Genomic DNA, 15,648 nt, shown 5'->3' with positions numbered 1-15,648 from the left:
TGCACTCCTGCTTGGACGGAAGGTGGATGGGTGGGGTGGGAAGGGGTGGGAAACGCCCAGCCCTGATGGGCTTGCGGGAGCCTGCGGGAGGGCCTTGCGTCTAGCTAAGGCGTGGGGAGCACCTCCCGTGGCCCCGTCCTTAGACCCCCGAGGGGTGGGGCGCTGCGGGTGGATCCTGGGGGTCTGAGGGTGCCAGGAGGATTTCTCATGTTGAGTTCTAGTGTTGATGATGCTAATCCAAAAAATACCTGAACCAAAAACCAATTCCAAAGAAAATCCCGTGCAGCAATGGCTTTCGATCGGCTGCGGCTTCTGTGGAACAGCTTCGGTGTCTTTGGCGTTTGGTGTTTTCGGACAGGCTCGGAAGTCACGCTCCCCAGGCTCAGGAACCCCTCCTTTAAAGGAGGTCGGTCCGTTTCCTCAAGTCACAGGAGCAGACGCAGGGTGGGGGCGTGGGGCGTCATGGGGAACAGCAGGCGGGGTGCCAGGGTCAATGTTAAGGTCCAGGTCACTCTCCAAGGAGCCCGCTGAGGGCTCAGGGCTCAGGGCTCAGGTGGCCCTCCTGCCCGCCCCACCTCTTGCTCCCTCCAGCAATGTCTTCCTGCTGCCAGCTCTGGGAGCCGGAACGCTGCCTTCAAGGCTGGGCCCATCACGAGGACAGCTGCGCACTGTCCCCTGCTCACTTCCTGTCAGTCTCTTCCTGATTTCCTCCTTACACTCAGTTCTCTTGTCCCCTTGGCCTCTTAGTGGCTGGGTGACCTTGGGTAAGTCACTCACCGTGTCTGAGCTTCGGTTCCTTCAGCTGGGAAAAGGCAACAGAGAAGTTCCCACCTCATAGGGTCCTGCAGCAATTCACTGGGTCAAAGCCCTCAGAACCCTCTTCAGCTCAGAGTGAGCGCCTCCGGAGTGCTCGCTGCCATTATTGTTATTATTATTATTGTTATTATTATTGCTATTTTTGAGACAGGGTCTTGCTTCATCACCCAGGCTGGAGTGCGGCGGCACGATCCCAGCTCACCACAGCCTCAACCTTCCAGCCTCAGTGTTCCTCCCACCTCAGCCTCCCCAGTAGCTGGGACCACAGGTGCGCCACCACACCCGCCTAATTTTTGTATGTTTTTGTAGAGACAGGATTTTGCCATGTTGCCCAGGCTGGTCTCAAGCTCCTGAGCTCAAGTGACACATCTGCCTCAGCCTCCCAAAGTGCTGGGATTACAGGTGTGAGCCACCGTGCCCAGCCATTGCTGTTGTTTTAACTTTATTTTTAAAATTTTATTTTATCCAGGTGAAATTCTCATAATATAAAATTAACCATTTTACAGTGAACAATTCAGTGGCTTTTAGCACGTATGCAGTATCGTGCAGCCACCACTGGTACAGTTTGGATTTATGTCCCCACTCAAATCTCACGTTGAACTGTAACCCCTAGGGTTGGAGGAGGGGCCTGGAGGAGGTGATTGGATCATGGAGGCCGATTTCCTCCTTGCTGTTCTCGTGATAGTGAGTGAGTTCTCACGAGACCTGGTTGTTTAAAGGTGTGTCGCTCCCATAGCCCCTCCTCCCTCTCGCCCTCTTGCTCCAGCTATGTGGGATGTGCCTGGTTCCTCTTCACCTGCTGCCATGACCGTAAGTTTCCTGAGGCCTCCCCAGCCATGCTTCCTGCATAGCCTACAGAACTGTGAGCCAATGAAACCTCTTTTCTTTATAAATCACCCAGTCTCAGGTGGTTGTTTATAGCAATGCAAGAACGGCCTTATACAACCACCTTTATGTAGTTCCAGAACATTCCCATCACCCCAAAGGAAACCCCATACCCATTAGTGGTCAGTCTGCATCCCCGGCACCCACCCATTTGCTCTCTGTCTCTGTGGGTCTGCCTATCCTGGACATTGTGTATCAGTGGAATCATACAATATGCACCTTTTGCATCTGGATTCTTTCATCGGGCAAATGTTTTCTGGCATCTTCCGTGTGGTGACATGAGTCAGGCTTCACTCCTCTGTCTAGCTGCGTGATATTCCACTGTCTGCGCTGACCACATTTTATTGATCCTTTCTTCCTTGATGGACATTTGAGTTGTTTCCACCCTTTGGCCACCACGAATTGCGCCGCCGTGAACGCGCGAGCACAAGCTCGTATTTGAACACCTGTTTATTTTATTTTAATTACTGGAGACAGGGTCTCACTACGTTGCCAAGGCTGGCCTCAAACTCCTGGGCTCAAGTGGTCCTCCCAAGTAGCTGTGCCCCCATGCCTGGCTTTGCACACCTGTTTTACATTTTAACTTTTACCATCTGCCTCCTTTTTGTGATCCACGCATTCTCAGAAACAACCACCACAGCTGCACTGCTTGCTTGTTACGAGGCTCACGCCTCTTGGGCTGACTCCACGCCACCTCCTACCCCCCACTCCTGCAGCGCTGCAAACCTGCGCCCCTTTTGTGTGTGGAGAAACAGGCACAGAGAGCCCAGCCACTCTGCTTTCTCCCTGGGGTGCCTCTGAGCCCCTCCCTCGGGCACATCCTGGCCCTCCCGTTGTAGGGCTTCCCGTCTGGCCTTCCCGGGCTTGTGGCTGGGGTCCCATCTGGCATGGCTGCTGTGGGCATGGAAAGATGCTGGCCCCATCCCTGTGGACAGCCTTGGCCTTCCTCCTCCTGACCCCTCTCACCACCACCGTGTCCACTCCTCATCCGCCCTCGACGTCTCTCCTGCTCCTGCCTTTGCTGAGATCTTCCAGGCTCTCTTGGGAACCCTGCGGGTGCCCCGGCTCTGCAGGTGCCACTGGCTGCTGCTCACTTCTGCCCCAGGCTCTTGGCTTCGGAGAAGTTTCTGCCTGTTGTCCCTGCAGCCTGGAGAAGCTCCGTTGAGTCTGGAAGGCCAGGAGGGAGGGCCTCGTGTTCTCCCAGGAGGAGCCCGGGACCCCTTGTGCCCAGAGAACTTTTCAGAGCCATCCATTTAGGCTGGGCCACCTGGTATGCGCTCCAGTCCCCAGGGCACTGCTGGAGTTGTCACCATGACAACTAGTGCTCCCATTTGACAGCAAGGACCCGAGAGGCCCAGGGGCCCAACAAGGGTCTTGCAGAGGGGCTGGCACCTGACCCGGGTCTATGTGGGTCCCAGGTCTGAGCTTGACGGGACTGAGACCTGAAGGGGCTGCCTGGGGTACGAGGAGGAGGTGGGGGGGAGGAGGGGGGAGGAGGAAGAGGTAGAGGGAGGAGAAGGGGGAGGGGGAGGAAGGGGAGGAAGGAGGAGGAGAGGGAGGAGGAGGGGGGAAGAGGAAGAGGCAGAGGAGGAGTAGGAGGAGGAAGAAGAGGGGGAGGGGTGGAGGAGGAGTGGGAGGAAGGGGAGGTGGAGGAAGAGGGGGAGAGGAGCAGAGGGAGGAGGAAGATAGAGGAGGGGAGGAGGAGGAAGAGGGGAGGAGGAGGGGGAGGATGAGAGGGAGGAAGAAGAAGAGGAGGAGGAGGTAGGGGGAGAAGGAGGAGGAGGAAGAGGGGAGGAGGAGGGGGAGGAGGAAGGGGAGGGAAGGAGGAGGAGGCCAGGGCCCCACTGGCCCACTAGGGTCTGCAGAGGAGAGAGGAGCAATGTGGACGTCCTGCCCGTGTTCACCACTCTGACTGGTTTTATTTTTGTCTTGCCCAAGTCCCCTGGCTCTTTCTCCAGTGCCCAGTGGAAACGTGCATGTCACGTTTTTCTCAGCGAGATTCGCAAATCGAAGTGGCAGCTCTCAGTCGCTCATGAGGGCCTTTGCAATCCAGCGAGCAAAATGAAATCGGCACATGTGGCCAAGAACCTGCAGGAATGGAGGGGTGGGAGCACCCTCTCTCCTCCCTCCTGACCCCAGTGCTGGGGTGGGTGGAGAGGGATGCTTCTCCCGCTGTCGGAGAGCCACACCTATCACTCAGCAAGGGTGGGATTGGACTGGAGGCCCCCGCGTGCCTCTCCCAGGCCCCTGACCTTTAGGTGGAGAGAAACTGGGTGGGAGGTAGGGCCGGGGTGGCTTGTCCCAGTGGTGGCCAGCCTGCGCCTGGCTGTGGAGTGCCCTGGATTCCTCTGCCTGTGTGCACCGCTTCCTTCCTAGACCTGCCCCTGCCTCGGGCCTGCAGGGTCCCCATGCACCCTGTGCGTGCACCACGCCCTCCTTTGTTTGGGGTGCCCTGCTTGCCAGCTGTTCTGGAAACCCGCCCCCAGGGGGCCCCAGTGTCCAGGAGACTCGGGTATTTGGTGGTCCCTGCAGTCCTCTCGGGCCACACTGAGTCCATGCTGTCAGTGACGGCAGGTCCCTGAAGGGGGAGGCTTGTGGCCGGGGGTGTGTGTGACAGACAGCTCGGCCGCCTCCTCAGGGTGAGATGTCAATCGCTGGCCCCTGGTGTCCTCCGCTGGACCCTTTCCTGTCTGCGCTGGGTGACCCGGTATCGATCACCTGTCAGGCCTTCGCTTCTGTCTCATTTTCCTGGCTAATGGCTCTGGCCGCCATTGATCCTCTGCAGAGGCTCATTTGACCCAGCACCATCTCCCTGCACCTGGTGGCCTCCAGTGTTTCACGGCGCCAGGCCTGGGGTTACAGATGCCCCTGCTCCTGCATCCTACAGATGCCCCTCCTACCTGTGCCCCTCGCCCTCCCTCTCACCTGTGCCCTTTCCCTCCTCCACCCTCCCACCTATGCCCCCCTCCACCCTCCCACCTGTGCCCTCCCCCTCCTCCACCCTCCCACCTGTGCTCCTCTCCTCCCCAACCCTCCCACCTGTGACCCTCCCTTCCGCCACCCTCCCACCTGTGCCCTTCCCCTCCTCCACCCTCCCACCTGTGCTCCTCTCCTCCCCAACCCTCCCACCTGTGACCCTCCCTTCCGCCACCCTCCCACCTGTGCCCTTCCCCTCCTCCACCCTCCCACCTGTCACCCTCCCTTCCTCCACCTTCCCACCTGTGCCCTTCCCCTCCTCCACCCTCCCACCTATGCCCCCCCACCCTCCCACCTGTGCCCTCCCCCTCCTCCACCCTCCCACCTGTGCTCCTCTCCTCCCCCACCCTCCCACCTGTGCTCCTCTCCTCCCTCACCCTCCCACATATGCCCCCCTCCACCCTCCCACCTGTGCTCCTCTCCTCCCCCACCCTCCCACCTGTGACCCTCCCCTCCTCCACCCTCCCACCTGTGCCCTTCCCCTCCTCCACCCTCCCACCTGTGCTCCTCTCCTCCCCCACCCTCCTACCTGTGCCCCTCCCCTTCCCCACCCTCTCACCTGCACCCCTCCCCAACCCTCCCACTTGCACCCCTCCCCTCTGCCATCCTCCCACCTGCATCCCTCCTCTCCCCCACCCTCCTACCTGTGCCCCTCCCCTCCTTCATGTCTGAGACCTTTTGGGCTATAGAACAAGATACCTGAGACTGGATAATTTATGAGAAAAGGCATTTATTTTCTTGTAGTTCTGGAGGTTGGAAGTCCAAGATCAAGGTGCCGGCAGGCTGGGTGTCTGGTGAGGGCTGCTCTCTGCTCCCGGATGGTGCCTCTTGCTCTGTGCTCCCCTGGCGGGAAGTGAAGGACACAAGGTGTCCAGTGCTGTGTGAAGCCTCTTTGGTGTGGCCTTAATCCGGGCACAGGCAGGAGGGAGGAGCCCTCTGGCCCTCATCACCTCCTAAACGCCCCAGCTCTTAACACAATCCTGCTGGAGACTGTTTGCAGGTGAACTTTGGAGGGGACACACACATTCAGACTGGAGCACCCAGTCCTCCACCCCTGCCTCCACCTCCTGTCCCTCCCTGAGCCCTTCCCAACACCCCCTCCAGCTCCCCCACCCTGCCCTCCCCCTCATCCTGTCCCCCGCTCCCCAGGCCCTGTCCCCTCTTTCTAGGCCTCCTGAAGCAAGGCAGAGTGCCCGCACTCCTTTTTCAGGAGGAGACTGGCTGGGAGGAAGAACCTTCCAGAGCAAGGCATCAGGGAAGGGTGGGGGCGGGGCGTGTCATTTCCAGGGCTCCCTGTTGTCCCCGGGCGGCAGACCCCAAATGCAGACCTTCCACTCTGAGCCTGACTGTGGGAGGGGAGACGCTGCCTTATCGTTTTCAGGAACTGCCTGACTTTAGAGAAAGATCCCTCCCTCAGATGCCCCATCCCAGGGCCTGCGGTGGGGGAGGAAGTCCGGGAGACGCTGCCTGCTGGGGGGCCCTGGGCAGGTGGGGCTCCTTGTCAGGGCTACAGTCCCTGGACTGGATGCCGCCTGTCTGTGAGGCTGAGGGAACCTGTTCCAGGCCCTCTGCTGGGGTGCAGTTGGGTCCCCCAAACCTGTGAAATAGATCAAGACAGCTACCAGCACCCCAGCTTCCGTGCATCCTAAGTGACTCAGTCCCCTCCAGGCAGGCAGGATGCCCCATGTGAATGTGGACGGGTCCAGGGTGGGAGTAGGTGGGTCCAGCATGAAAGTGGGCAGGTCCAGGGTGACCATGACAGTGGGCCAGTTGGGGTGAGAGTGTGGGTGGGTCTGGGGTGAGAGTGGGCAGGTCCAGCATGAATGTGGGTGGGTCCAGGGTGATGGTGACAGTGGACAGGTCTGGGGTGAGAACGGGCATGTTCAGGGTTGGAATGGGTGGATCCAGCATGAATGTGGGCAGGTCCGTGGTGACCATGACAGTCACACTCTCACCTTGCACGTTAACTGAACCAAGGGTTGGGGTGAGGGTGTGGGTCTGAGGTGAGAGTGGGCGGGTCTGAGGTGAGAGTGGGCGGGTCCAGGGTGAGAGTGGGTGGGTCTGAGGTAAGAGTGGGCGGGTCCAGGGTGACGGTGGGTCCAGGTTGAGAGTGGGCGGGTCCAGATTGAGAGCAGGCGGGTCTGAGGTAAGAGTAGGCGGGTCCAGGGTGACAGTGGGTGGGTCCAGGTTGAGAGTGGGCGGGTCCAGATTGAGAGCAGGCAGGTCTGAGGTGAGAGTGGGCAGGTCTGAGGTGAGAGTGGGCAGGTCTGAGGTGAGAGTGGGCAGGTCTGAGGTGAGAGCAGGCAGGTCTGAGGTGAGAGCGGGCGGGTCTGAGGTGAGAGTGGGCGGGTCTGAGGTGAGAGTGGGCGGGTCCAGGATGAGAGTGGGTGGGTCTGAGGTAAGAGTGGGCAGGTCCAGGGTGACATTGGGCAGGTCTGAAGTGAGAGTGGGCAGGTTTGGGGTGCCAGTGGGGTGGGTCCAGGGCTGGAACGTAAATCCCAGCCTCCATCCTCTGGTTGTAGATGCTGCGTGGGGAACAGTTGACCCCCCTAGCTGGGTCATCATGTAATTTGTCAAATACTTAGAACCTAAGAGACGGACGCAGCCCGTGGGTGTGGTCAGCAGGGTGGCTTCACCAGGAAAGGTGGAAGGGCCTTCTTGGACAGGGACATGGGAGCTGGACAGCTGGTGGCCCAGGACAGTGAGTCTGCGCTCGACCATACGGAATCCCCTGAACGCTCATGTAACACAGCTCGTGAGTCTCACCCCCACAGCGTCTCATCCCGTGGGTCTGGGCATGGCTTGAGAATTCGAGGTTCTAACCAGCTGATGCCCCGGGCACCCTACTTTGAGAAGCACATTAACTGAGCCAAGGGCGTGTGCTCATGGGAAGTTTTCTCTTTTTAAGTAGAGACATCAGGGCTTCAGGTGTGCTTAGTTCAACTCTGCTGGAACCAAGCCAAGTCAGAGAGGGTGGAGGGGGTGTGTGGCTCTCTCCTGGAGGAGGCCTGCCACACACCCCCTCCACCCTCTCTGACTAGGCGGCCTCAAAGGTGGGCTGAGAGTCAGCAGAGCTTGGCTGAGGCCCACAGGAACCCCTGTCACCCTCTGCACATTGGCAGCACTGGCTCCCCTGCCCGCCTGCCCCAACACATCATTCCTGAGCCATTACATTAATGGGCATAAAATATTTACTTAACTCAGCTTTTTGCAAATATTCCTTCAGTTATTGTCCCTCTGCTGGGAGCATAAACTGTGCGGCAGGCACATGCTGAAAGGCTTGGGTGTTAAATAATACAATAAAAACCCTGCGAAGGCCAGACAGCTCCCCGCGTGCATGGGGCTGCCGCCTGCTTGCTGTGTCCCCGGTCACTCCACCACAACTGCCACCGCTGGAGCTGGAGGAAGAGGGTCTTGATGCAGACGGCCCAGCTTCTGCGTGGGGGCGGGGAGGGAGCAGGACACGTGGGTGTGAAATAGACAATTAAAATTACGTTCCCAAAGTTTTCCATTTACTCTTCCAGAAGCAAGTTGCAGGGAACTTTGGGAAAAATGTGAAGTGTTTAGCAATGGATCATTGCTTTCTATTTTAATATCTTTTCTTGAAATGTTTCCTCCTCTATGGGATTTTTTTTCTGACCACCATTTCACCCACCCCCACCTGCTCCTGCAGTGGCTGCTCCAGGTCCCGGTGGCTTTTCCGGCGTGCCCTGAAATGGAAAACCCGTTCTAATTGGTCCCCTGGCTTCTATGAGTTATTAATGAATGGCTGCCCCCATCCTTTCCGTGATGCTGAGGATCTGTAAATAGACAAACCCCAAACTGACACTTTTGAGGAAAACGACTTGGGTGGTGGGTTTTTGTTTTTGTTTGAGACGCAGTCTCGCTCTGTCACCCAGGCTGGAGTGCAGTGGCGTGATCTCGGCTCACTGCAACCTCCACCTCCCGGGTTCAAGTGATTCTCCTGCTTCAGCCTCCCGGGTAGCTGGGATTACAGGTGCCCGCCACCATGCCCAGCTAAGTTTTGTATTTTTAGTAGAGAGGGGGTTTCACCATGTTGGTCAGGCTGATCTCGAACTCCTGACCTCATGATCCGCCCGGCTCGGCCTCACCAAGTGCTGGGATTACAGGCTTGAGCCACCGCCTCGATGGGGGTTTTACCAGGAACTTCGGGGACTTTTCTGTTCTGACTTCAGAAGGGACCTTCCTTATCTCCACCCTCTTCACCGTGGCCAGGGGGAAGCACCTGGGTCTCTAGAGCTGAAGGTGCTGCCTAGAGTCACATGACTGTCATTGCTGGTTCCTTCCATGCCAAGGGGACTGTCTGTTTGAAACCCTGATGATGGCAGGGAGGATTGTGGGGACATAAGGAGGCAGAGGGAAGGGGTGCAGGGAGAAGGAAAGGGTGGGAGAGGTGAAACGGGAAAAGTTCCCTTGTCCCCCTCACAGGGCGTGTGACAGGGAGTGTGGCTTGCTTCTTCAGTGCCCAGCTGCTCAAACCTCTGGGGGAGCATAAGACGGGCAGGCTGTGGGGCTCTGACCCCAAGGCCATGTCTAGGGGTGAGTGTTACAGCTCGGGAGGCCCCGATGGGTGTGTGTTATGGGTGCTCTTTTAGTTTAGCCGTCTGTAGGCGGCTTGTGTTAACCAGCTCAATTAGACCCCCTTCCTTATCACAAGGACAGAGGGATTTCCTTATCCCAGGGTTTCTTGCCTTGGTGGACCGGAAGAATCGGATCTCACATGGGCTTGGAGAATGAGTGCAAAGTTTTATTGAGTAGAGAAGTAGCTCTCAGCAGATGGCGGAGCCAGAAGGGAGATGGTTTTTCCGTGGAGTCGGGCTGCCGACGTGCTCCCCTCCACGTCCTGTCCATGTCCCGGCCGCTTGGCCACTTGTCTTCTTCTGCCCATGTGTTCCTCCCGCTCTCCAGCAGCTTCTGTGTGTCTGCCCGCTGGGGTCTCGGGTTTTTATAGGCCCGGGATGGGGGCGTGGCGGGCCAGGGTGGTTTTGGAAAATGCAACATTTAGACTCCTTGCCCTAGGCCTGTGGGGGTGGGGCCCTAGCGAGGGATCATGCCCCCCTCTACCCAGCATTTCCCTAACCCCCTTCTGTATCATTTAAAGGGACCATGCCTTCCCTTCCCAGCACTTCCCTTCTGTATCAGAGGGAGATAGGTAGCAAGACAGCTAGAGACAGCGAGAGAGCGAGAGCGAGAGAGAGAGAGAGAGAGAGAGAGAGAGAGGAGAGAGGAGAGAGGAGAGAGGAGAGCGAGAGCAAGAGCGAGCACACACACTCTAGAAACCTGCTCCCAGGCACCTCTGGTCCCTCTTGGAGGAGCTTTCCCATTCCTGGCCAGCTCTCATTCCCAAAGACCTGCTCATATTTTTGACCCTGCTAAAGCAGGTGAGAGTCAGCCTGCAGTGACCATGCAGAGCCCAGCTCCTGCCCTCTTCCTCCCGCCTTGCTCTTCACCCTCAGGGGTGGGGCCGCCGTGCTGGCCCAAGCCTCTGCCCAGGCTCCTGCAGCCCAGCCTCCACCGGCTCTCCAGGGAAGAGGGCTGGCTCCAGCTCTGCCATCTCAGGCTTGGGGCTGTTTCTTGTTTCCATCATTCTTTGAACTTGAGAATCGGATATGCAGAAAGATCTTCCGAACTCGGAGAGGAAGTGTTTGTACAGCTCCAGCAGGGAGCAGACACATTTTTGAACCAGAATGACAGGGCATCCTGCCAAGGACAACAGCAGGGCTGGGCGTGTGGCCCCTGTGAGTGGGTTGCATCCTGGCTATGATCTGGGGCCCTCCCCATCCATGTGGTTTCTGGGGGGCCAGTTTGTACGGGAGCTTGGCTGATGGGCCCAAACCACATGTGAATTTCCTGCAACTGCTGTAACAAAAGACCCCACACGGGTGGCTGGAAGCAACGGGAATGTGGTCACTCAGGGTTGTGGAGGGCAGAAGCCTGAGGTCAAGGTGCCAGTGGGGCCGCGTTCTCTCTGAGGATCTCTGGGGGGTCTTTCCGTGCCTCTCCCAGATTCTGGCAGCTCCTATGATCCCTGCCTGCTGTTGTCATGGAAATGGGAGCTTCCTTGGCCTTGGTCCTCACTGCTGTCCCTCAGGGCCTGTGCTGGGAGCTGGGCCTTTCAGGTGCAGCTGTGACAGGAGCTTCCAGAGGGAACTTCCCACCCCCCAGGGGAGCAGGGCTGGGCTGGGCTGGCAACTCGGAGGCCAGGCACCAACTATCATGGTGACTCAGGGACCTCAGTAGGGGATGACACAAGTGCTTGAAAGGAGGCCTCAGGATTCCGAGATTCCACGCGGCTTCAGGCCTAGGACCTGTTAGCCCCTGTCACACGTGCGCATGTGCCACTGTATGCCCACATGCACGCGCCCACACACGTGTGCCCATCCAGCGTGTGCGCACCGAACTACCCACAGACGTGGCACAGCCTCCCGGTTTCAGAAGGTCCACATGGGTGCAGGTGCCCACACAGGCCCACGGCACGAAAGCTCTTCTCAGAAACCAGGCGGATGAATGGCCCTCCAAGCAGGGCCTGCACACTCCAAGCTGTGACTGGGGAGGGGCTGAGGGAATCTGGGGAGGTGCTGGCACCTGACTCCAGGGTGGAAAGGACACGTGCAGCGCCCCCTTCCTTGGGTGTCCAGGTGTACGTTCTGGCTCCCAGCAGGGATGGGCTGGGTGGAAGGAGCTGGCACCTGCACACGTGCACACCTGTGCGTGTGTGTGTGTATTTGTGAGAGCCCACAGGCCAGCCGCCTGCATTGTGGGTGTAGGAATTGCCACAGTGTGTGGCCACGCACGCCCTGAGTAGCTATGCATCTTCCCATCCGCAGAGTACCTCTGCCACCTCCACGGCACACGTGCGTCTCTGCTGGTGTGTTGTCCCTTAAGACACTCATGGCGTGCAGCCTCCCGATGGTGCACCTTAGTTCCTGTCTGTTGAGGGAGCAGGTCCTGAGGTTGGACAGAAGAAAGGAAGCTCCTGGGAAGGATGGTGGCAGGGTGGAGAGAGACTCCCAGTGCTCGGAGAGTCACAGTCTGTGTTAGTTACTTGTTACTGCCCTAACAAATTACTACACATTAAGTGGCTTACAATAACACAGATTTATTATCTTTATTTAAAAAAATGTTTTATAGAGACAGGTTCTCACTTCATTGCCCAGGCTGGTCTTGAATTCCTGGGCTCAAGTGATCCTCCTGCCTCAGTCTCCCAAAGTGCTGAGATTACAGGCATGAGCCACCGTGCCCAGCTACAAATTTGTCATCTTACAGTCTGGAGGTTAGACTTGGCTAAAATGAAGGTGTCGGCAGGGCTGTGTTCCTCTGTGGAGGCTCAAAGGGCAGGAAATCTGCTTCCTTGGCTTTCCCAGCTTCTCGAGGCTGCGGCACTCCTTGGCTTGTGCCCTCCATGAGCTCCATCCATCACATCATCCTGACCCCTCCCGCCTCCGTCTTCCACTTCTAAGGACGTTGGGATTGCACCCGCCCACCCGGATAATCTCCCATCTCCAGATCTTTAACTGACTCCTGTGACTGCTGCCATGCAAGGCAATGAATTCACAGAGAGTAGGGTTCACAGAAGCAGGGGTTGAGTTCTGGAGATGAGGATGTGGCCATCTGTGGGGCCATTATTCCACCCCCTCATAGCCCCTAAGAAACCCGAGAACTCTGAAAGGTCATCTCATGAAGCCCCCTATCTGCCTACCAAAATAGTGTACAGCTTGACATATAATTATGCAAATATTCTATCCTAATGAACATTTTCCTCAGGGTGTAACATATGTACGGTCAAGTGCGTACACCTTGGGCACACATAGGAAGTGATTGCAATTCTCATAACTTTCTGTAATTCTTCTCCCGAGGTTATAATGAAGAGAATGAGTCCCTGATTTGGGGTTCCTGAGATCTGCTCTAGTCCAGGGCTCCCCCTTCCTTCTTTACAGCTGGCCTGCAGGATCTGCCCTCCCTGGTCTTGAGCACATGTGCATACATGTGCATTCAGACACAGGCACACATGCACGTGCACTCAGATGCACACGTATGTGCACTCAGACACATGTACACACACGCACACATGCACACATGTACACACACACGCACACACACATGCACACGTGCTCAGATAGCTGTGCCACAGAGGTACGGCTGGGCGCATTTTCCACATGTGCACCCCTCACCCTGCCCAGGCTCCCCTGTGCCCTCCCGGACAGCATCTGCTGTGCAGAGGTGGCCATGCTCTGATTCTACCCTGGGCAGTCCTGTCCTTGGAACTCACAGCTTACAGGGCCCTGTGCCTGGACTGCCTCCCAGTTTCCTATGTCCCCCTCCAGTGTCTGGGGCTGGCTGGGGCCCTCAGAGCTGTCCCCATAGGGTGCCTTCCTTTGTACGCTGCCCAACTGTCTCTCCTGTACAAGGGACAAGGGATCAGATGCCCCAGTCGCTCTGGGACTCAGCCGATGGGCGGTCTTCTCTGGTCCTCTCCACCATCATTCAGAGTCTCCATCGGGTCCTCATACCTCGCACAGGCCCAGCCACCACTTCTGTGATACATTTGAAAATCAAATTGTTTACACACATGGGGTCCTGAAACAGTGCCCACCTCCTCTCCTGGCCTCTACCAACCTGCATCGCCTCCATCTGGACCAGGCGCCCAGAACACAGGCTCCGTCATCGTCTGATATCCTAGTGTGTCTGCAGGAGGATGGGTCCCTGCCCTTTCTGCCTGCCTAGTTCCCTTGGGGTTGGCTCATGTCCCCTTTTGTCCCTAAAGACATCCCCAACTGCCAGGTCTGCCCTGACATCTCCCACTTTGGGTCCACCTCCACGTCTGCCTCATCTCTCCACGCTGGTGAAGGCCATGTCCTTGTTCCCACAGCCCCTGCATAGCACCGGCCTCACACCCGAGGCCGCAGAATCGAACCTGGACTAAAGGTTTCTCCCTACTCCTGACTCTCCCTCCTGCATGACTCGGTAGTAAGCCATTTCCAGGAGAGAACACGTTTCATCTATCATTTATTCTTTGGCCCCACCTGTGCTCTTACCAGTGTGCTATACCACTATTAACTCAATCTATGTAGCAGCCCCCGGGAGGTAGGTGTTGTCCTCACCCCTGATTTACAGATGGGGAAACTGAGACACAGAGATGTTTCACGAGCTAGGAGGGGTAGGGCGAGATTTGAACCCAGCCATTGTGTGCGGGTGTTTCTGCCTGACCACGGGCCGCACGCAGCTCCCATGCGTGGGGCACGTTCGTGGGCAAAAATTGAAGAATGTCTTATTTATTTTCTTGGCACAGTGTCTTTTCATTGCTGTTGCTTTTAATTTCCTGCTTTCCCTAAGAAAGTCTCTGTGCCCATCTCAGAATGTCCCCTCAGCCCAGGGACAGCGGCCTGGACGGTCAGGGGCCTCCACCCCTGCACATGTGAGCTTTCCTAGGTTTGCAGCCAAAACCAGGAAGCCGCGTGCCAGGAGGAGCCGGGCTGAGCCAAGGGTGCCGGTTCCTTCTCCACAATGGAATGCAGATTTCCCATTAAAAGGCAAATCTTTATTTCAAAAGGTTGAATAGGATGCAGCTTAAAAAAAGATTTCCAGCTGGTTAAATTTAGGGCAAGGGAAGAGGTCCAATCCCAGAATACTGCCTGGCCGTGGGCCCGCAGCACAACCTTTTGCTGGGAGTTGGATACATTTGCACTTGAAGCGCCTGCCTCTTGATATTTTTTTTCCCCTTCTGAGCTAGGCAAACAAATGCGGATAGCTGTGTTGGCCAGAGTTGCAGAGTGGGGCTCACTTAAAATCATGTATTTGAGTGGGGTGGTTGCCAGTTCGAGATGGCCTGTCCCAGCTGACTGACACCTGCTTCGTGCATGAAGACAAGCAGGATGGACAGCTATGGGCTCTTCCTCCTTCCAGGATTGCCTGGTCCCTTCCTGCAGCCTGTGCTCTGGAACCCTGGCCCAGCTCTGTGTCCCACATTCACAGTTCAGGCCCCTAGAACCCCCGCCCACCAGGCCTCCTGGGGTCTGGGAAGAGACCCCGGGAATTGGAGGGCTGAGCCTGGACCCAGCTCCCTCAGGCAGGCCAGGTGACCTCGGCATCATGTGGCCTCTTTGGGCCTTTCTGACCTGGTCGTACAGCAGCAGGTAGACTGAGCCATCTCTGAGGTGGTGTCTGGCTCTGCCTCCGTTGTGGGGCCAAACCCAAGGCCGGCCTGGAAACTTTGTGGTCAGGGGAGGGCTTTGGGAACCTGGACCTGAAGGAAGCTGGGCAAGCAAAGCTGCGTGAAAGGGCCAGCCTTGGAGGCGCATGTGCATGTGTGCATGCGAGTGTGTGCATGTGCGTGTGAGTGTGCATGTGTGAGTGTGAATGTGCATGTGTGTGCATGTGTGTGCATGTGTACGTGTGTGTGTGTGCATGTGTGTGAATGCATGCGTGCATGCATGTGTACGCGTGTGCACGTGAGTGTGAATGCATGTGTGCATGCGTGTGCATGGCGTGTGTGCATGTGAGTGCATGTGCACGTGTGTGTGCATTTGCATTGTGTGTTCATGTTTGTGGGCACATGTGTGTGTTTATGTGCATGTGTGGGGCTGCGGGTGATCAGGGAGGATTCAAATTTGAGGGTCTCACGGCCTGGAGACCTCAGAAGCAAAGCTGGAGGAAGAGGAACCTGGTTAGGTGTTGGGAACACAAAGCCCCTTTAGAGCAGCCAGCTGGATTGCAGGACGGTGTGGCCTTGGTCTGAGGGTGGCCCTAGGGCCTGAGGAACTCCATGAGGCCTCCCATCCCCTCCTTCTGCTCCTTCTCTCCCTCCTCTCCAGGTTGCTAAGAAGTCCAAAGCCCTGTGAGTCCGTGTGAGTCTGTGGCCCCTCTCACACGCCCTACAGCAGAGCACAGCAGGGCTCTCCAGGTGGGCCCGGGCTCTCCCCCTCCACCCCATCCTCCTCGTCATCCCACTGG

General features: G+C 57.4%; 7 annotated features.

Moving 5' to 3' along the window:
* Nucleotides 4,155-4,675: an enhancer, noted in NCBI's record as "H3K4me1 hESC enhancer chr17:77675499-77676019 (GRCh37/hg19 assembly coordinates)". NCBI's record gives its function as "activates a minimal SCP1, AML or CMV promoter by ChIP-STARR-seq in primed H9 embryonic stem cells {active_cell/tissue: H9 hESC(primed)}" and the evidence as "EXISTENCE:reporter gene assay evidence [ECO:0000049][PMID:30033119]".
* Nucleotides 6,276-6,860: an enhancer, noted in NCBI's record as "H3K4me1 hESC enhancer chr17:77673338-77673922 (GRCh37/hg19 assembly coordinates)". NCBI's record gives its function as "activates a minimal SCP1, AML or CMV promoter by ChIP-STARR-seq in naive H9 embryonic stem cells {active_cell/tissue: H9 hESC(naive)}" and the evidence as "EXISTENCE:reporter gene assay evidence [ECO:0000049][PMID:30033119]".
* Nucleotides 8,713-9,032: an enhancer, noted in NCBI's record as "active region_12917". NCBI's record gives its function as "activates an Ori minimal core promoter by ATAC-STARR-seq in GM12878 lymphoblastoid cells {active_cell/tissue: GM12878}" and the evidence as "EXISTENCE:reporter gene assay evidence [ECO:0000049][PMID:35858748]".
* Nucleotides 10,401-11,001: an enhancer, noted in NCBI's record as "H3K27ac-H3K4me1 hESC enhancer chr17:77669291-77669891 (GRCh37/hg19 assembly coordinates)". NCBI's record gives its function as "activates a minimal SCP1, AML or CMV promoter by ChIP-STARR-seq in primed H9 embryonic stem cells {active_cell/tissue: H9 hESC(primed)}" and the evidence as "EXISTENCE:reporter gene assay evidence [ECO:0000049][PMID:30033119]".
* Nucleotides 10,974-11,143: an enhancer, noted in NCBI's record as "experimental_47566 CRE fragment used in MPRA reporter constructs". NCBI's record gives its function as "activates a minimal promoter by MPRAs in K562 erythroleukemia cells, with activity observed for both the introgressed and non-introgressed 17:77669234 or rs146414228 variant alleles {active_cell/tissue: K562}" and the evidence as "EXISTENCE:reporter gene assay evidence [ECO:0000049][PMID:34662402]".
* Nucleotide 11,058: a transcriptional cis regulatory region, noted in NCBI's record as "Neanderthal adaptively introgressed variant 17:77669234 (GRCh37/hg19 assembly coordinates) or rs146414228 in the experimental_47566 CRE". NCBI's record gives its function as "modulates activity of the experimental_47566 enhancer by MPRAs in K562 erythroleukemia cells {active_cell/tissue: K562}" and the evidence as "EXISTENCE:reporter gene assay evidence [ECO:0000049][PMID:34662402]".
* Nucleotides 14,298-15,149: an enhancer, noted in NCBI's record as "H3K27ac-H3K4me1 hESC enhancer chr17:77665156-77666000 (GRCh37/hg19 assembly coordinates)". NCBI's record gives its function as "activates a minimal SCP1, AML or CMV promoter by ChIP-STARR-seq in primed H9 embryonic stem cells {active_cell/tissue: H9 hESC(primed)}" and the evidence as "EXISTENCE:reporter gene assay evidence [ECO:0000049][PMID:30033119]".

The sequence above is a fragment of the Homo sapiens genome, chromosome 17 (assembly GCF_000001405.40).
Source record: "Homo sapiens chromosome 17, GRCh38.p14 Primary Assembly".
NCBI classification, from domain to species: Eukaryota; Metazoa; Chordata; class Mammalia; order Primates; family Hominidae; genus Homo; species Homo sapiens.
This window is presented reverse-complemented; position numbering and strand designations above follow the sequence as displayed.